Raw genomic sequence first — 20,979 nt, 5'->3', positions numbered from 1 at the left:
AGGATTTTTTTTTTTTGCTATCATAGTATACAATTGAAACGTTTGGATGCAACTACTTTGAAGTAGATGTGGCAAATAATTGGCCCACAAGATGAAACCAGACTGTAGTCGTGTTTTAATTATATGGTGTTTATAAAGGGAATGAGAACATATTTAGGGAGTCGGTATATTATGCAGAAAAATCTGGGTTTTCAGCTTCTCTTGAAAAAATAGAAAAGACAGTTGACAAAAATGGGCCTGTTTATTTGGATGGCAAGAGTCTGTTGCTAGCAGTGAGTGCCCCCTTAACATAGTTTACTACAGTCCTCACCACTCCCTATTGTCCCCTGGCACTGAGTTTCAGTTGCATTTATCATTGTGTTTCAACAGTGGCATACTGGTAAATGTTTTACAAATAATCTCCGGGTGCTGAGGGTGGTGCAAACGTGTAGCATTGGCTGATTTCTACATTGTAAATACTTTCGCCATGGCCAATTTAAAGTTACCAATGTGACTTCACCGAACCCAGGAAGAGATATGCACTGTCAGATCTCACGAGTTAGTACAGTCGACTCCAGCACACCACTGACTTAAGCGCTATTTTTCTTAATGTAGGTCATTTCACTCAATGACCTTACCTGCCTAACTTTAGTAGACACGTGTGTTTGCCTTCTCTATTGTAGAAGAATGACCATCAAGAAGTTGGTAGAAAAAAAATCCAGGAATGGACTCAAACGTGCCCTTTCTACTACTCCACAGCTGCCCACTGTTAGACGTATTTTGGGAGCTCCGCTTTGATTCAAGCTCTGATAATAAACACAACATTTGTATGTAAAAGGCAAGATAAATCTCAAAGCGGTGGCAGTGTGTTTGTTGATACTTACTTCAAGGTCAGCAACTTGACCAATATTCTGTTGCCCAGGTGTTCCTTGGGACATTCTGGTACTGGACGTATTTCCACAGCATCCTCCTATTTTTAATCACATCGTAAGGAAATCATTAGTGAATTCTGTGGGGAGCTCCAATTAGAGTTAACCCAGGGAAGGGAAGGCTACCCTCCACGGCTCAAGTTAACTTAGATTTGCTTTTTTTCTAACACTCTGCCTTTTATAAGAAAGTTTCTCTTCCAACCCCCAACCTCAAAGCCAGCATTTGCAGCAAAACAGTTTCTCCTTTTAGAAACCCAAGCATTCAAGACAAAGAGACTGAAGCAGGAAGGAAGGAAATGTGAACATGGATATGGCTTAGTAACATCCACCAGATGGCATTGCAAAATCTTATACCTATTGTTGATGTTTTTGTGTGTTTTTTGCCCACTCTAATTACACATTTGCAATATTTCTCCTGTCAAGGGCTTTACTAGTAAGTATGTGAGTTTCAGATTTGAAATCTGAGTCAGAATGGTTCACTTAAGGCTGTAAACCATTGATCCTATAATACAGAGTCACTTTCTCAGTTCACTGTTTTCTTAAACAGATGATAGAGACTTGGGGTTGAATTGACAAGTTCTAGACAGGCTTATGCAGTTAGAGCTTCCTAAAGTGCTAGGTATATGAAATTTAGTAATGACAAATTAAGAGCTCTACCTGTTTATTTTACCGCACAGAAACTAAACACTTAAAGAGAAATATCAAGCCCCTATTGTAACCTTAACATCTGTATCTGAACTATCATTCTATGTTAATTATATTCATGTATGCAAAAATAAGTAGTGCAAATCCTTGAAAACAGTAATTCCCACTCTTGCAGTATGCTTTCCAAACACTGGTGAGTGCTCTGCCCATCGCAAGGGTCCAAAGAACAGGGTCACATCTCACTGTCTTTTCCTGGGAGCTTTCCAGTGAATACCCCACAGCAAGCTTAACATTCTTGCAAATAGCAGTAAAGTCACCTTCCTGGTAAATATGTACCCACTTTGATGGAATGATCAATGTGGTAAGCTCATCATTACTCCAACCTCTCCCTGTGGTCCCCATTCCTTGTGGTTACGGCGGTTGGCCATGTTGCTGGGTGGAATGGCTGAGTTTATTTCAGAGGAGACATTGTTTTGATGCCTACTCGCTCAGGGCAATCTGGACCTTTTAGGATCATTGGAACAGACATATCTAAAGGGAAGATCTCCCTAACTGGAAAACAACCTGAAGGTAGAGACACTCATGGATTTCTGGGACTGCCTTTGGTCTAGATTCTAATTTTTGAAATCCTTTTAAAAAAGATTTTCATTGGGAAAATTTTAAACATACACAAAAGTTGAGAGAGCAATGCAATGAAGAACCATTCACCCATCATCTAGCTTCAACAAGTTCAATTCAGGGGCATTCTGGTTTCATCTATTTACCCACTTACCACCTTTCTCGCTCAATACTGGATTACATAGAAGCAACTTCCCAGAGACCATATACATATATAAATATTTCAGTACATATCTTTAAAAGATAAAGACTTTTAAAAACATACAGCAATACCATTATGCCTAAAAATTAATAATTTCTTATTGCCACTAAATAATTTTTGTCAGTTTCAAATTTCCCTGACTGTCTCAATTTGTTTTTACTGTTATTTTGTTAAATCAAGATCCAAACAAGGTCCACATATGACATTTGGGTGATATATTTCCTCAGTCTCTTCTAAGCTATATGAATTTCCTCAGGCTTTATAGCTAACTGAAATGGCAACTAATTCCCAAGCAAACAGAAAGTGGAAATGTGAAACATTAATGGATACCTCTTGTTTTCATCATCCTAAAAATATATATAAATGAACGGAATGAAAGAGATAATGAGAGAGAAAGAGACAGTATGAGAGAGATGATATTCTTTCATTTACTCTCCCAATGGATCCAGAGGTCAACTCCACATTTGCCTACCTGTGATTTTCTTAGGTGAGCCAAGAAGTACTCCCCTAGCCTTTTTTTCTGAATTGGTTTTAGTTGGGTTCTGTCACTTGTAACCAACAGCCTCAGCAAACTTTTCTATAATTTGGAGTATCAGTGGAATCTTTCTTAGGGATTGACATAGAATGCCTTTTGTAGAATAACCGCCTTTTGTAGACTCAGAATGAATTAGGGAAAGAACTTGCCTTATAGAAGCTTGGTGGTTAAGTCCAACTTTTGCTTCTCCTGTAGACTCAGCCATAACTTGGATATACTAGTTTACCTCTCTTCTAACTTTCCTTACAGGGAAATCAAGTAATGATATATTTAAAAATCTGATTGTGTCATCGAAAAAACCAGCATTTGTAATCATGTCAGAGTAGGCAGAAATTTACCTTTCTTCCATAGAACTTTCTTTGGAGAAAGCACAAATTATAAATACAAATGCAATTTCTGTGACAACAGCTTCAAAATATTAAAGGGCTGGTATAGAGGCCCTCAAGCATTTTAGACACGCCAGTTTACAAATAACTGCAACACTAATTACGAAGCACTTCTCTCTACTCAATAAAAGCAGGCCCCATTAGGCCTGCTCCCAGATTATAACATTCAGTCCCAATGGAGCGTCTGCATTGTTTCAAAGATCATAAAACAAAGTTCCTCTAAAACCAGGCTACGTTTCATTATTTTAATCTGTTCAGATGGAACATTCTCCCCTCTAATACCACCAGGGAGACACTGACAAGCAAACGTCTCACTGGACATATTCTCTGCATCCTTTAATTGTTCTCTCTCTTCTGGCATCCACTTTGGGTCCCTCTATTACATGTTGGCATCTCCATCACAGAACTGAGAGGAAGAGGAAGGAAAGTAAAGGCCAAATCAGTCTGATTTAATATGTTTTGACAAATCTGGTAAAAAGTCTTAATGTCGTGGATGGAAACTAAAAAGTTACATGATATTTAAAAATATCATATTTGGATTTCAGTTATGTGTCCCAACATACCAGGTAGTCATATGTATGTAGATACATAAACAAGGGAACACGAACTTTGTAGTTAGCGGGTTAGGGCCCCATTTTGTAATTTAATTTATCTGTTGAATCTTGAAAAAGCTCTTTAGCCTAATTGTTGCTTTTTAATCTGAGGAAAGGAGATGATGATATTGCTCACATTATTCATACTTTATTAATTTATTTTTTAATTGACAAGTAGTAATTGTGAACATCTATGGGGTACAGTGTCATGTTTTGATCTATGTATACATCGTATAAAGATTAAATCAAGTAATGTTTTGATCTATGCATACATTGTAGAAAGATTAAATCAAGCTAATTAACATATCTATCACCTCACCAACTTACCTTTTGTGTGTGTGTGATGAGAACATTAAAAATCCTTTTTTAAAGCAGTTTTGAAATATGTAACACATTATTATTAACTCTGGTCACTGTGCAGTGCGATAGGTCACTAAAACGTATTCCTCCCGCCTGAGACTTTGTGGCCTTTGACCAACACCTTCTCCCTCTCCCCACAGCCCCTGCTATAACCACCTTTCTACTCTGTTTCTATGAGATCCACTTTTTTAGATTCTATATATAAGTGAGATAATTTATTTTTATATTCTGCCTCATTCAGAAGACCATTTGAGGCTGCTGACAAAAACTGCAAATAAAATAAAAATAGATGAGGAAACCAAGGTGCTTAGAAAATCAGGATAAGAAAAGAAAAGAAAGCTGGAGTAAATTCAGGACCCCAATCATTAAGTTGCCACATTTGGTGAAGGTGGACAGAAGTTTGCTCTAAGTAAAGAACTTAAGAGAGTTAGTTACAAAATGAGCACAATCTCTAAGTGTTTGTATTATCTCAGCAGAAGCGTGCTTCTTCTTTCTCGGAAGATGTGAAGGCTAATTGCCCTTTAGATCATCAAAGAGGAAGGTGCTAGATGGTGAGTAGGTCAATGTCAACAATAGTATTTCCATGTGGACGTGATATCCTATCTCATGACTGCTGTTTCCTTTATTGTCCTCCTTGCTGACCAGTCGTGAGCTCACTGAAGGGCAGGTTAGCAAACACAATCCAGAAGGGTGGGGGTATCAGGCTCTCTGATTGTCTCACTTAATCCAAGGATCGAATTTCAAATATTTAGAGGCATGGATGGATAGAATATCTTTTATGCAGTTTCCTCAAATCCTGTTTCTTCCAACTGAACTTTCAATACCATTTGGACAGCAGAGATATAGCAGTAATCTGTTCTGGCAAGACCCAGAAGTGTAGATAACCTCACGCAGAGGGGAAAACTGAGAGCCTCCTATACAGTATAAGGAGTTCAAACAGACAAAAGGCTTGAATAATCGTCACCTCTCATTTCATCCAAAGTGCCTCAGGCAGTGACCACAGGCAAAGTCTACATTATCCTATTGTTGTCAGTCAGCTCCAATAAATGAAGAAGTAAACAATCAAGATCCCAAAGTTCTATACATTGGGAGCATGGGCTGTGATTATCCTAGCCTGAAATGTTTTCAAAGCAGGTCTCTCTGGTTGCTCATAGAGACCATTAAAAAGAAAGTAACAAAGCACTAAAGAACATCAAAGTTTAAGTAATGTATGTCTCAATGGATTAGTGACCACACATCCCCTCAAATAATAGGATGGTTTGACTTGCTGGGTGTGATTACTACATGTAGACCCTTGAAACATTTGGGGATTAAATGAGATGCTCTTAGTGAACATATTTTGTAAAGTGCTATGAAAATTCCAGTTGTTATTATTATCAGAATCCCATCTGTGTGATAATCAATAATGGCTCTGCTATGACACACAGGCTTGCCTGAGTGAAAAACGAGGCCCCAGAAATCATACAAGTGAGCCCTGACACCATGGGCTGCTATATAGTAATAATGAACAACACAATTGTCCACATGACTCTCAGAGTCTTCACTGAGATTCTCCAGTATGGAAACAGTGGCACCCACCTCGTCCACTGATGGGTAAAGGGCAAAGAGCTCGGCCTGCCTATTGGTCCTCCGGGCCTCCTCGTTCTGCTTCTCAAAGTCCTCGGCACTCACTTGCTGCAGGAGGTTTTCTAGCCGCTTGTCAGGCTGCAGGCTGCGGAGGTCAAAGTCACAGGCAGTGACGGGGCCTTTCCCAGACACGTCGCACAGCACGTTTAAGTGGCGGGGGCCTGCCTGTGAGAGAAAACAGTGGGTCTTTGTGAGAGAGACGGCAAGTCTAAAATGAGAACCGAAGAATCTTGGATGTCTCAAGACTGCTCCAATTTGGGACTACAGAATCTCAGCCAGGCCTCAAGTCTTCTGAAGAAACTGCGGATTTGATAAGAATGACATCTCAGCTTCCTGGCTGGACTACTCTAAAATTAAATGTCTTCTTCTCACCTGGAAGCAGGTAGTTACTCATCTTATGCAGACAAACCAGTCCTGAGGAAAGGACTAAAAACAGTACTACATTCCTATCGGTTGTTGGCTTGTTCTTTCCTGGGGCTGGGGGGGCCAAGCCTCTTAATGAACCATGCTCATGTCTCACACCAGAGCAAAACAGAGCTGGAGGAAGTTGTAACAAAAAGGAGACTGGGCCAGGTGCAGTGGTTTATGCCTTTAATCCCAGTCCTTGGGTAGACAAGGTGGGAGGACTGCTTGAGGCCGGGAGTTCAAGACTAGCCTGGGCAACACAATGAGACTCAGTCTCTTAAAAAAAAAAAAAAAAGCAAAACTTAGCCAGGCATGGTGGCGTGCACCTACAGTCTTAGCTACTTGGGAGGTTTAGGTAGGAAGACTGCTTGAACCCCGCCCAGGAGTTCAAGGCTGCAGTGAGGTATGATTACCTTTTTTTTTTTTTTAAAGACCGAGTCTTGCTGCGACACCTAGGCTTGAGTGCAATGGCGCCATCTCAGCTCACTGCAACCTCCGCCTCCCAGGTTCAAGCAATTCTCCTGCGTCGGCCTCCCTAGCAGATGGGACTACAGGCGTCCGCCACTACATCTGGTTATTTTTGTATTTTTAGTAGAGATAGGGTTTCACCATATTGTCCAGGCTGGTCTGAAACTCCTGACCTTAGGTGATCCGCCGCCATCAACCTCCCAAAGTGCTAGGATTACAGGGGTGAGCCACTGCGCCCGGCCCCATTTAAGTCTTTAATCCATTTTGGCTGCTATCTAATATGATCACAAGTGACATCCTCTCATGCTTTGCCATATTGTTTTGACAGAAGCAAGTCCCAGGTCCCACCCACAGTCGGGGATGAACATCACAAAGGTGTGAATGTCACAGGCCCAGATGATGGGACAATCATAGAATTTGTCTGTCATACTAATTTTCTGATAATAATTTAAAGTGCACATCTAGCTTCTGTAATAATGTACTATTTTTAAAATATTGGGCTCATGCCTGTAATCCCAGCACTTTGGGAGGCCGAGGTGGGCGGATCACCTGAGGTCAGGAGTTCAAGATCAGACTGGCCAATATGGTGAAACCCCATCGCTACTAAAAATACAAAACAATTAGCTGGGCATGGTGGCCAGTGCCTATAATCTCAGCTACTTGGGAGGCTGAGGCAGGAGAATCGCTTGAACCCGGGAGGTGGAGGTTGTAATGACCCGAGATGGTGCCACTGTACTCCAGCCTGGGCAACAAGAGCGAGACTCCGTCTCAAAAAATAAGTAAATAAATTATTGTATTAACTTTTTAAAACTGTAAAAATCAACAGAGAAAAAGATTACAAATGACCCTACAAGTTACTAATTTCTTTGTGAAAATTTTTTTTAAAGTTAGGCCAGTTCTAATTATTGTGCTTCTAAGCTTCTAAAGTTAAAGTGTATTTAATAAAGCCAATAGGAAAGATTGGATTTTTTTTTTTTTTAGACGGAGTTTCACATTTTTTGGCCAGGCTGGAGTGCAATGGCGCAATCTCAGCTCACTGCTGCCTCTGCCTCCCAGGTTCAAGTGATTCTTTTGCCTCAGCCTCCTGAGTAGCTGGGATTACAGGCACGCGCCACCACGCCTGGCTAATTTTGTATTTTTAGTAGAGACAGGGTTTCACCATGTTGGCCAGGCTGGTCTTGAACTCCTGACCTCAAGTGATCCACCTGTCTTGGCCTCCCAAAGTGCTGGGATTACAGGCATGAGCCACCACGCTTGGCCACGATGACTTCTTCTGCAATCCAGCCTGGGTGACAAAGTGAAACCCTGGCTCATTAATTAACTAATTCATTCATTCACAAATAAATAGATAGGAGACTGCACTGGGAAATAAAGAGACCCTGTCTTAATCTCCACTCAGAACTTGGTTTTTGAAACTGGAAAATAAGATGATTTGTGAGGAGCCTTCCAAATTAAATTGTGTATAGACACCAAAGCTGAATGTTATGCTTCCAAAGGTCGATGTGGGAGTGGGCAACACTTTTCTACGGGAATTTGGTAACAGTTATTGGATGAAGCAACAACAACAAAAAGGAAAAAATTTGCTATTCAAGCTGTGTCCACTTTTGGCTGCGGTGTGCTTTAAGAAAACAACCTTAAATCAGTCACAAAGTGGATGTTTTATTCCATTAGGAATGTCTTTGTAATTGGGAACTGCATGCTTTGAACCAAAGACTCAGCAAAAAATGTATAACTGTAATCAACTATATGTTGTAGGACTACAAATGGATTAATGGTAAATATCTATAAAATTTATGGCAAAATGTTATTCTCAAAATTCTACTAAATGGACATACTACTGGACAATTTCTCCATACTACACATTTTTTGTGACATCTACCTCACAAAAGTACTACTCTACTAGATCATAAATTTTCCCCAAACTGAATGTGCTAGAAATAATCAATATTAACACTTCGATTATTAATACTTTTGTTTTTCTTAAAATTTATAAGAGTTTAAGGAAAATGACTTTAATTTCCCAAATTTATTTAAAAGGATATCAAGATACATATAAGTAAAAAAATCTAACATTACTCATCCCTTAATCTAGAAATTTCACTTCTAAGAATTTATCCGTAGGGTATAACTGGCAAGTGTGCAAGAATGTGAGGGCAAGGGCATCTCTGAAACACTGTTCGTGATAGCAAAACAATAGAAGTAAACTAAATGCCCCCAAAAAGGAAGTGTTAAGAGATTTTGGAACTTTCATAAAATAGAATGTTATGTAGCCATTAAAAGAAAGAACCTGGCCAGGTGCGGTGGCTCATGCCTGTAATCTCAGCACTTTGGGAGGCCAAGGCCGGGGGATCATGAGGTCAGGAGATCAAGACCATCCTGGCTAACATGGTGAAACCCCGTCTCTACTAAAAATACAAAAAATTAGCCGGGTGTCGTGGCACATGCCTGTAGTCCCAGCTACTCGGGAGGCTAAGGGAGGAGAATCACTTGAACCTGGGAGGCAGGGGTTGCAGTGAGCCAAGATCGTGCCACTGCACTCCAGCCTAGGCGACAGAGCAAGACTCTGTCTCTAAAAAAGAAAGAACACGTATTAATTGGAAGAGAAAGATAATCACAGTATATTGCTAATATGAAAAAGGAAGTTTTGCAATATTATGCATAATATAATCTAATTTTTATAAAATCTACGTGTACCAAGGAATCTTATCATATACTTGTTTAAATTTTATAAATCTAGCTATGTGGCCTCACCATTCTACTCAATAAGAAGGTGCACAAGAATGAGAGTGGAATTGAAAACATTGCTGTCATCTCGCAGTCTGAGATTCTCTCCATGATGAGTATTATTCCAATATTTCAAAACAAACAACTTTTGTACAATTTGGCTCTTTAAAAAAATTTAATAGACACATAATAGTTGTACCTATTTATGGAATACAGTGTAATATCTCAATACCTGTGTACAATGTGTAATGATCAAATCAGGGTAATTAGTGTACCCATTGCCTCAATTATCATTTCTTTGTGTTGGGAACATTCAAAATCCTTTCTTCTAGCTATTTGGAAACACAGAATAAATTATTATTAATTCTAGTCACCTTACAGTACTATCAAATACTAGAACTTATTCCTCCTATCTAGCTATAATTTTGTAACCGTTAACCAACCTCTCTATTCCCTTCTCCATCCATCCTTCCCAGCATCTAGTTACCACTTCTACCCTCTACTTCTATGAGATCAACTTATTTATCTTCCACATATAAGTGAGATCATGCAGTATTAGTCTTACTGTGCTTGGCTTATTTCACTTATCCTCTAGACTCATCCATGTTGATGCAAATGACAGGACTTCATTTTTTTATGGCTGAATAGTATTCTATCGTGTATACATACCACATTTTCTTTATCCATTCTTCTGCTGATGGATACTTAGGTTGAGTCCACGTCTTGGTTACTGTGAATAGTGCTGCAATAAACATGGGAGTGCAGATGTCTCTTTGATATACTGATATCCTTTCCTCTGGACATATATCTAGTAGTGAGACTGCTGGATCATATGATCAAGTTGGCTCTTAAACACAGACAGTGGGCCGGGTGCGGTGGCTCACACCTGTAATCCCAGCACTTTGGGAGGCCAAGGTGGGTGGATCACCTGAGGTCAGGAGTTCGAGATCAGCCTGACCAACATGGAGAAACCCTGTCTCTACTAAAAATACACAATTGGCCAGGCGTGGTGGCGCATGTCTGTAATCCCAGCTACTCGGGAGGCTGAGGCAGAAGAATCGCTTGAACTTGGGAGGCGGAGGTTGTAGTGAGCCGAGATCATGCCATTGCACTCCAGCCTGGCAATAAGAGCAAAACTCCATCTCAAAAAAAAAAAAAAAAAAAAAAAAAAAAAAAAAAAAAACAAAAAAAACCACACACAACACAGTGACTTGAGTTCTCTGCTAGTATGCTGCAGGAAAGCGTGTGCTTTGTGTGTACGCTGGTCTTCACCTATTGTTTCTGGGCTCCAAATTCACCCTTTTATGCCTTGTTCTTTGATGCTAGGTCAGCAAATCATATTTCCGCTGTGTCTGCTGCTCCCTTTAGGTTCTGTCAATAGGGAGCACTACAGGGTTACCGGATGGTTCAAGGAGGTCAAAGGGCCTGGCTCCTTCCTCTTGCTATTCCTCTCACCTTCGTAGTGACAGCTGGTTCTAGCCTTCAGGTTCTTTTGGTACTTCCAGAATCACCCTTATCTTACCTCCTTGAAGGTACCAGCACCAGCCGGGCAATTTCTCCTCCTGTGAGGCGTGAGTCCAGGCTTCATGAGGTTTTTCCCTCTGAGATCTTGAGACAACACCACCAGCTGGGCAGTACCTTCTCAGGGATTTCAGTCCTTGCTCTCAGGCTCCTCTTCTGAGCTTCTACGTTCTGACAACTCCAAGATCTTCCCCTAGACCTGCAGTCCTCAAATTGTGGTCCTGGGACCAGCAGCATCAGCATCACTTAGGAAATGCTAATTAAAAAGTATGAGGTTCACCCTCCAGACCTACTGAATCAGAAATTCCAGCAGACAGGGCCCAGCAACCTATATTTGAACAAACCCTCTGGGAGATTCTGATGAAGCTGAAGTGGAGAACCACTGCCGTATACCCCAGCCCCAGGCTGGTGTGCTGTTTCCCATAATGACGATTTTAGGATAGCCTCCATTTTTCCCTTTTGGTTCTCTCAGACCTCCAAAACCGGTTTAATCAATTCCCTGTGTTAAATTTCTTCTGCTGAAATACCTACCGTGGCTTCTATCTGACTAACATTAAGAGGAACAATTTAATTGGTCAGCATGTAGGGTGAAAATGGAATTCAGTCAAAATTACTGATGAAAAATTCCTTAAATCTCCCATAGAGCAGAGCATCCAGGTATTCTATCCCTCAGTAAGCCTGTCATATTTAGCGCTGGAAATGATGGCTGATTCTACTGTGAAGCTCCAAGTAAGTAGTGGGCTTTGCTTTAGGGGGACCACCTTGTCTGAAAAATTAGTATTATTTAAAAACCTCGAATCATTTCCAGCATGGTGAGATTCCTGTATTATGAAGACACATGGAAGCTGAAAACTATATTAGTTTACAAGAAGTTCTGTGCAAACTTGAACAAATTTTTTCTTCTCAATTTTATTTTTCTCATCTATAAAATGGGCAGGTTGGACAGCTCAGTAGTGTTAAACACATTCACACTGCAGTATAACCATCACCAGCATCCATCTCCATAATGCTGTTCATCTTGGGATGCCGAAACTCTACCCATTAAACAATAACTTCCTACTCCTCCCTCCCCCAGCCCCTGGCGACCACATTTTGTTTATCCATTCATTATGGATGGATACTTGGGCTGCTTCTACTTTTTGGCTGCTGTGAATAATGCTGCTGTGAGCATAGGTGTATAGAGCTTAACTTTTGGAAACATGGAATTTATTTGGCTATTGTTCTTTGGCCGTTTTATGCAAATGAAGGCTTGCTTTCTTTCTGTCTTCTATTTGTTAGAGTGTTTGCTGGAGTTCTTCAAATGACCCCAGGCATTTAAAAAATTAGTTACAGAATAGTGTTAAAAGCTCATTTCACAATATGTACACTTTAACTTGAATTTTAAACTGTAATTACTTTATAAGAATAATGACAACTGGCCAGGCGTGGTGGCTCATGCCTGTAATCCCAGCACTTTGGGAGGCCGAGGCGGGCGGATCACAAGGTCAGGAGATCAGGACCATCCTGACTAACACGGTGAAACCCCGTCTCTACTAAAAATACAAAAAGAAATTAGCTGGGCGTGGTGGCGGGAGCCTGTAGTCCCAGCTACCTGGGAGGCTGAGGCAGCAGAATGGCGTGAACCCGGGAGGCGGAGCTTGCAGTGAGCCAAGATCGTGCCACTGCAGTCCAGCCTGGGCGACAGAGCGAGACTCTGTCTCAACAAAAAAAAAAAAGAAAAAGAATAATGACAATAACAATAACAGTGACCAGCATTGACTAGGCACTAAGTGTACTTGGCATTATTCTAATTCTTTATGGATATTAACTCATTTAATACTCAAATAACCTCATGAGTTAGTATTACCATCCTTGTTTCCCAGGGGAGGAAACTGAAGCCCAATAAGTTTAATTATCCTGCTTGAAGTTAGAGAGTTAGTACATGGTAGAATCACTAGGAGAATGCAGGTATTCTGGCCTCAGCATAGAGCTTTTCATTACTCTGTAGTTTGCCTTAGGGGCACCAAGAGTCTCTGCAGGAACTGTCGTAGGGATGGGCCCAAGGTGTCTCTGTCCCCCAGTTAGAGCTTTTCCACTTTTTTCTATTTTAATCATTGGGTTTCTGGGTTTTCATTTGAACACCAATTTCTACAGCTACAAATAAGTTTGAAAAAAAAAATCACTGACTCAGATGGTAAAGTTCCTCCTACTCAAACTTTCTATGCGTCTATCGTTTATTCTAGTTTGTAAAACTGACAGCATGCCCTGGGCAGAAGAGCCCAGTAACCTGGTAACCATGTTTGTTGACAGGAAATACCTGAGCAGCGGGTTCACTGCACTCCAAGGTTTCCGACTCAAACGTCTGTTTCGGAAGCGTCTTGTGAAAATCTTTTCGAGATCCAGTCTTTTTAAAGCCACAGATTTCTGGACTTCCTTGGTTTCTTTTATGGTTGATATTTAATTTGGAGAGAGAAAGAGGGAGAGAGAGCGGCAAACCATTAGATTAAAAATAAAAGTAATGGCTTAAGTGTAGACATGGTGCTGAGAGAGCTTTCAAAGAGGGAACCAATTATAATTCCTCACATTTAATTATTCTCCAGGCCTAATACAAGGCTCTGTTGTAATGAGATACAAATTTACCCCCTGGCTGGCTCATTATTAAAGGGAGGCATGGCCTGGGAAAATGCCACTTCAGAGGTGCGGTCATTTCAGCTGTGGGGCATTTGGCTCCGAGCTGAAGCTAAACTATGACCCTAGTGTAAGTGGCTGGAATAAATCTAGCAATGTGCAGAAGCCACAAATAGAGATCGTTTGAAGATAAAAATAGAGAAAACCATTTAATCTTCACATCAATGTTCTTAATAATGAATAAAGCAGGCGGGACATGGTTAAGAAAAAATAAAAATAAATGATTTAACTTTGCAAACATCCTCAATCTCCACTCTATGAACTCTGTTAAAGTTGTGTTGAATAATATACAGCTGTGGGAAGAGTTTAAAACAGAATGTCTAGCCCTGTCACTGAAGAAATGAGACAGACCATCATAAGAAAGGTAAAACATGTAAGTTGTCAAGTGATGACTAGAGAAACCAACATGTGTATTTCCCATTTTTATGACTCAAAGACATCTTTGGAAAACATGTTACAAAGTCAAGTGCACAAACACGCCACTTTTATTTTTATTGAGGATACGGGATATCTTATCTTTTATTTTTTTCCAACTTTTATTTTAGGTTCAAGGGATACATGTGCAAATTCATTACATGGGTAAATTGCATGTCACTTAGGTTTGATGTATGCATGATACTGACGTCACCCACATAGTGACCATGGTACTCAATAGGCAGTTTTTCAACCCACACCTGCTTCCATCCTCCCTTCTTTAGTAATCCCTGGTGTCTACCGTGTTATCTTTATGCCCATGTTTACCCGATGTTTAGCTCCTGCTTATAAATAAGAACATGTGGTATTTGGTTTTCTGTTCCTGTGTTAATTTGTTTAGGATAATGGCCTCCAGCTGCATCCATGTTGCTGCAAAAAAACCCCCATGATTTTGTTCTTTGTTATGGCTGTGTGGTATTTCATGGTGTATATGTACCAAATTTTCTTTATCTAGTCCACTGTCGATGGGCATCTAGGTTGATTCCATGTCTTTGCTATTGTGAATTGTGCTGTGAGGAACATACGAGTGCATGTGTCGTTTTTGTAGAACAATTTATTTTCCTTTGGGTATAGACCCAGTAGTGGGATTGCTGGGTTGAATGGTAGTTCTGTTTTAAGTTCTTTCAGAAATCTTCACACTGCATTCCATAGTGACTGAACTAATTTCCAACATGTTAATTTTTGCCTTTTTTTTTTTCTTGAGACAGGGTCTCGTTCTGCTACCCAGGATGGAGTGCAGTGGTGTGATTATAGCTCACTGCAGCCTTGAATTCCTAGGCTCAAGCAATCTTCCCACCTCAGCCTCCCAGTAGGTGAGAGTATAGGTACACGCCACCATACCCAGTTAATTTTCTTTTTCTTTTTCTTTTTTTTTTTCCATTTATTTTGATGTTTTGTAGAGACACAGTCTTGCTACATTGCACAGGCTGGTCTCAACCTCCTGGCTTCAAATAATCCTCCTGCCTCAGCCTCCCAAAATGCTGGGATTACAAGCATAAGCCACATGCCCAGTCTATTTTATGACTTTTCAATAACAGGCATTCTGACTGTTGTGAGTTGGTATCACACTGTGGTTTTGATTTGTATTTATCTAATGATTAGTGATGTTAAGCATTTTTTCATATATTTTTTGGCCACATGTATGTCTTCTTTTGAGAAGTATCTGTTCATGTCCTTTGCCCATTTTTAAATGGGGTGGTTTTTTGCATGTTGAATTATCTAAGTTCCTTATAGATTCTGGATATCAGACATTCTTCAGATTTACGGTTTGCAAATATTTTCTCCTATTCAGTTGGTTATCAGTTTACTCTGTTGATAGTTTCTTCTGCTGTGCAGAAGCTCTTTAGTTTAATTAAGTCCCACTTGTCAATTTTTGTTTTTGTTACCATTGCTTTTGGGGACTTATTCATAAATTCTTTACCAAGGCCAATGGCCAGAATAGTATTTCCCAGTTTTTTTCTCTAGGGTTTTTGTAATCTTAGGTCTTACATTTAAGTCCTTAATCCATCTTGAGTTAATGTTTGTATATGATTAAAAGGAGGGGTCCAATTTCAATATTCTGTATATGACTAGCCAGTTGCTCCAGCACCATTTATTGAATAGGGAGACCTTTCCTCATGGCTTGTTATTGTCAACTTCGTCAAAGATCAGATGGCTGTAGGCGTGCAGCTTTATTTCTGGTTCTTTATCTTGTTCTATTGGTCTACGTGTCTGTTTTTGTACCTGGACTGTGCTGTATTGGTCACTGTAGCCTTGTAGTGTAGTATGAAGTCACACAGTGTGATGCCACCGGCTTTGTTCTTTTTGCTTAAGATTGCTTTGGCTATTCAGGTTTTTTGGTTCCACATGAATTTTGGAATAGGTTTTTTTTTTTAAATTCTGTGAAAAAATGATGTTGCTAATTAAGATAGGAATAGCAGTGAATCTAAAAATCTCTTTGGGCACTATGGCTGTTTTAATAATATTGATTCTTCCTATCCACGAGCATGGAATATTTGTCCATTTGTTTGTATCACCTCTGATCTCTTTCAGTGTGTTTCATAATTCTCATTGTAGAGATCTTTCACCTCCTTGATTAGCTGTATTCCTAGGTATTTTATTCAAAAGGATAAAATAAATGGAATTGCATTCTTGATTTGGCCCTCAACTTAGACATTATTGGTGTGTGGAAATGTTATTGACTTTTGTACATTGATTTTGTATCCTGAAACTTTACTGAAGTTGTTTATCAGTTCTAGGAGCCTTTTAGCAGGGTCTGCAGTGTTTTCTGGGTACAGAATTATATTGCCTGCACTGTGACAGAGCTAGTTTGACTTCCTCTCTTCCTGTTGGGATGTCTTTTATTTCTTTTTCTTGCCTGATTTCTCTGGCTAGCACTTCCAGTACCATGTTGATATAAGTGGTGAGAGTAGGCATCCTTGTTTTGTTCCAGTTCTCAAGAGGAACGCTTCCAGCTTTTGCCCACTCAGTATGATGTTGGCTGTGGATAGTTGAATAATAGATGGCTCTTATTATTTTGAGGTATGTTCTTTCAATGCCTAATTTGTTGAGGGTTTTTAACATGAAGGGATGTTGAATTTTGTTAAAAGCCTTTTCTGTGTCTATTGAGATTATCCTGTGGTTTTTGTTTTTAATTCTGTCTATGTGATGAGTCTCATTTATTGATTTGTGTATGGTGAACCAACCTCGCATCCCAGGAATAAAGCCTACTTGATTGTGATGAATTAACTTTTCAATGTGCTGCTGGATTTGGTTTGTAGTATTTTGTTGAGGATTTTTGTGTCGATGTTCATCAGGGATATTGGCCTGAAGTTTTCTTTTCTGCTGTGTCTCTCCCAGGTTTTGGTATCAGAATGATGCTGGCTTTGCAGAATGAGTTAGAGAGGAGTCCTTCCTCCTTGAATTTTTGAAATAATTTCAGTAGGATTGGTACTAGCTCTTCTTTGTATATCTGGTATAATTTGGCTGTGAATCCATCTGATTAAGGGCTTTTTGGGGTGGGTTTTGTATTACTGATTCAATTTCAGAACTCACTATTGGTCTGTTCAAGATTTCAATTTCTTCCTGCTTCAATTTTAGGGGGCTTGTGTGTTTCCAGGAATCTATCCATTTCTTCTACGTTTTCTAGTTTGTGTGCATAGGGGTATTTATAACAGTCTCTGAGGATTTTTTATATTTCTGAGGCATCAGTTGTAGTGTCATTTTTGTCATTTCTGATTGTGCTTATTTGGATCGATCTTCTCTCTTGTTTTCTTTATTAATCTAGTTAGTGATCTATCAACCTTGTTTTTTTTTTGAATCACAAACTTTTGGTTTCATTGATCTTTTGTATGGATTTTCACGTTTTAATTTTTTTCAGCTCTGATTTTGGTTATTTGTTTTCTTCTGCTGGCTTTGGAGTTGGTTTGCTATTGTTTTTCTAGTACCTCCAGGTCACACACCATTTTGTTTGATTTCCTGAACTATAGAAAAACCACCAAGCTGGTAAAGGGACATGAGGTGATATTGGAAGGTATTAGGTAGATCAAATGCCAGATAGATAAAGTAAGAAATGTAAGAGAGCTACTAGCAATTATACAAATACAAAGTTTATAACTCTGGCACAGAGAGCAGGTATTTGACCAATTTTAGTTGACTGAATTAATTAAAGAATAAGATGTCCCAGTGACGTCTGTAGGAAGAACAGGACACTCTCCCTGGATTTTATTGTGTTCTGAAGACAAACAATTTGTTTTGAGCCAAACAAAAAACAAGAATTAGCCTAGAAAAGAGATAAGACTAGCTTGGTGACTAATTCAAGTCAAGGCTTACCACAATGGGCCATCTTTTTTTTTTTTTTTTGAGACGGAGTCTCACTGTCGCCCAGGCTGGAGTGCAGTGGCACGATCTCTGCTCACTGCAAGCTCTGCCTCCCGGGTTCACACCATTCTCCTGCCTCAGTCTCCTGAGTAGCTTGGACTACAGGCGCCCACCACCACAGCCAGCTAATTTTTTTGTATTTTTAGTAGAGACGGGGTTTCACTGTGTTAGCCAGGATGGTCTCGATCTCCTGACCTTGTGATCTGCCTGCCTCGGCCTCCCAAAGTGCTGGGATTACAGATGTGTGCCACCGCGCCCGGCCATAATGGGCCATCTTCAGCATCCCCTGGCCGCTTGAATTTCTCTGACCCAAACCTATATTGCTAGGGCTGGGTGAAACGCAGGCTAAATTGGGGAAATGAAAAAAAAAATAAACAGGTGAACTCTGAATAAGGAAATAAGACTAAACATCCAAAAACGATTTCAAGGAAAATGTACAGGCTGGGTGCAGTGGCTCACACCTGTAATCCCAGCACTCTGGGAGGCCAAGGCGGGAGCACCACTTGAGCCCAGGAGTTTGAGACCAGCCTGGGTGACATGGTGAAACCGCATCTCTACAAAAAACACAAAAAATTAGCCGAGTATGGTGCCACCTGCCTGTAGTCTCAGCTACTTGGGAGCCTGAGATGGGAGGATTGCTGGATTGTCCATTAACAGTTATTTGAGAGAAATTCTCACACGGATTTTATAAACCTGCTAGTTTCTTAACAGTCACTCTCACAAATATAAATGTAGGCAACAACATATCTGTGTGTGCTGACTGGGTAAACTTTCCTAGTACATGAAGTGACTGTTTTGGACTCTCCCTAAGGGCTCAAAGAAAAAAAAATCTGTGTGATCTAACATCCTGGCTGGGGGTCAGGGGACAAAAACCAACTCAAAGTAGTGACAAATATATGCAAATATTAAGTTATCGCCTAAAATTATGCTACCCCAAATAACAATATACTGAACCAGTGATGTTTCTTGAAAAATCCAATTTTAGGGGGAAAAATTACCAAAGAATTTATCTAACATTAATTTATCCTAACATTGAAACAAACAGTTAATTAAAATTCAAATTTCCCACATTAGTATTTGCCCTTTGCCTTTTTTTTTTTTTTAAGGACTTGTACATTTTAAAGGGTATTGATGTCAAAGGTTTAGTATGACATGACACGAAGGTTTACAAGGAGACTTTTGGGCCACAGAAATAAAAATTAGGAAGCAGCTACCTAAAGACCTTTTGTGTGTGAAGCTTAGCAACCAGAACTATATCAGCTTTAGCATTACTTTTTGTGTTATAATAAAATGCGGCTATTTCCAAGAGTGTTTACTTACAAAGGAACATCTCTCTCTCTCTCTCTGACACACACACACACACACACACACACACACACACACTTACAGATGTGTGCTTGTTTCCATTATCCTCAAGTTATTTCTCTCTGTGCCTCTGTTTCTTCACAGGGTAAAGCATGAACATGAGGTGAATTCTAAGATATTTTCCCCAGCTTTAATATTTTATGATAAAAAGTTCATGCACTGTATCTGAAAAAATCAAAATCAATTCTTTTTTCTGTTTGTTTTTGTTTTTGGAGACAGAGTCTGGCTCCTTCACCCAGGCTGGAGTACAGCGGCATGATCTTGGCTCACTGCAACCTCCGCCTCCCGAGTTGAAGCAATTCTCCTGTCTCAGCCTCTTAAGTAGCTGGGATCACAGGCATGCGCCACCGTACCCAGCTAATTTTTGTATTTTTAGTAGAGACGGGGTTTTGCCGTGTTGGCCAGGCTGGTCTCGAACTCCTGACCTCAGGTGATCCACCCGCCTCTGCCTCCCAAAGTGCTGCGATTACAGGCATGAGCTACCCCACCTGGCCCTAAAATCAAATTTTCTCTTCAAAAGATGCTTAACTTTTGAGACCATCAAATTTATTTGGCTATTGTTCTTTGGCTATTGTACACAAATGATGCTTGCTTTCTTTTCTGTCTTCCATTTTGTTAGAGTGTTTGTGGGAGTTTTTCACATGGACCCCACAGTCAATGACAAATAGGCATTAACAAATGAGTTACACAATAATGTTAAAAGTTCAGTTCACAATGTGTACACTCTAAGCCTTCAGGGTTTTTGCTATGGAAAGCATTAAGACTAGCATCTTCTATGACTGTGTGTTTGAAACCAGAGCAAACTTTCCCTCTCTTCCTCATACTAGGTTTAACATCTACTTCCCCATTTAAAAATCTCAGAAAGTCTCAAAGCTCCTTGACAGCAGCAAGGGTGAACCTGGCTGGGGAGGAGAGGACAAGGGTTGGCAAACATGTAAAGATGACTCATTCCAGAAGTGCTGGCCACAGAAGGAACCATCACTGGGTAGGCAGTGAGACTGCTGGCTCACTGCCGCTGGCTACAAGAGAGTCCCAGCTTCATTACCCCACCCTGGCAATGGAGTCAAATAAAGCCAAGTTCCTGTTGCACCTAGATGCAGACAGGAGAAAAATGGGGAAGTAGGCCAATGGCTAGAAAAATGATTCTCATGAAATGAACTCGACCTATTGCTTCCCAGGAGATCTGCATTCCTTTTCTTAAAACACTATTCTAACACATTTGAGACAATCCAAAGACCAAGCGCGTTTTGAGAGTGTTCTCTTTAAAGACAGTGTGGTGCAGCCAGCAGAATCCAGGCTCTAGAGTCAGAAGGAACTGGGTGCAGACGCTGGCTCCTTAATGTACTAAGAGACCTTGGGCAAGTGCCTTAGTCTCTCTGAGTCACAGCTTCCTCAAGTATGAAATAGGGGGAAATGTTGCTCATTTTGAGGACCTATTGTGAGGATTAGAAAATAATACGTGTTCCTCATCTTCTTTTTCCTCTTCCCTACCCTCTCTTTCCTTTCACATCTTCTTTCTCCTTTCCCTTCTCTCCCTTCCTGTACAATTTGGTGCTAAAATCATAAGGTGCATCAGAACAAGGCAGCCCTCCATGCCTTGGGGTAGGGAGTAGCCGAGGAGGTC

The 20,979-nt window shown here is 40.2% G+C and overlaps 1 protein-coding gene across 17 annotated transcripts in view; it reads right to left on the bottom strand.

Moving 5' to 3' along the window:
• Window positions 1-20,979, bottom strand: part of DOCK8 (dedicator of cytokinesis 8) — a 253,999-nt gene that overhangs the window by 147,264 nt on the left and 85,756 nt on the right. For all 17 annotated transcript variants that reach the window (XM_017015173.2, XM_047423927.1, XM_011518045.4 and 14 more), the window contains 3 exons: window positions 13,288-13,411; window positions 5,826-6,038; window positions 864-949 (listed from right to left, as the gene is read on the bottom strand). In XM_017015173.2, the coding sequence (XP_016870662.1) occupies window positions 864-949; window positions 5,826-6,038; window positions 13,288-13,411 (423 nt within the window). The remainder of the gene's footprint in view (window positions 1-863; window positions 950-5,825; window positions 6,039-13,287; window positions 13,412-20,979) is intronic.

This window comes from Homo sapiens, chromosome 9 (genome assembly GCF_000001405.40).
Source record: "Homo sapiens chromosome 9, GRCh38.p14 Primary Assembly".
In the NCBI taxonomy this organism is placed as follows: Eukaryota; Metazoa; Chordata; class Mammalia; order Primates; family Hominidae; genus Homo; species Homo sapiens.
Note: the sequence above shows the minus strand (reverse complement) of the source record. Positions and strands in the feature narration are given on the sequence as shown.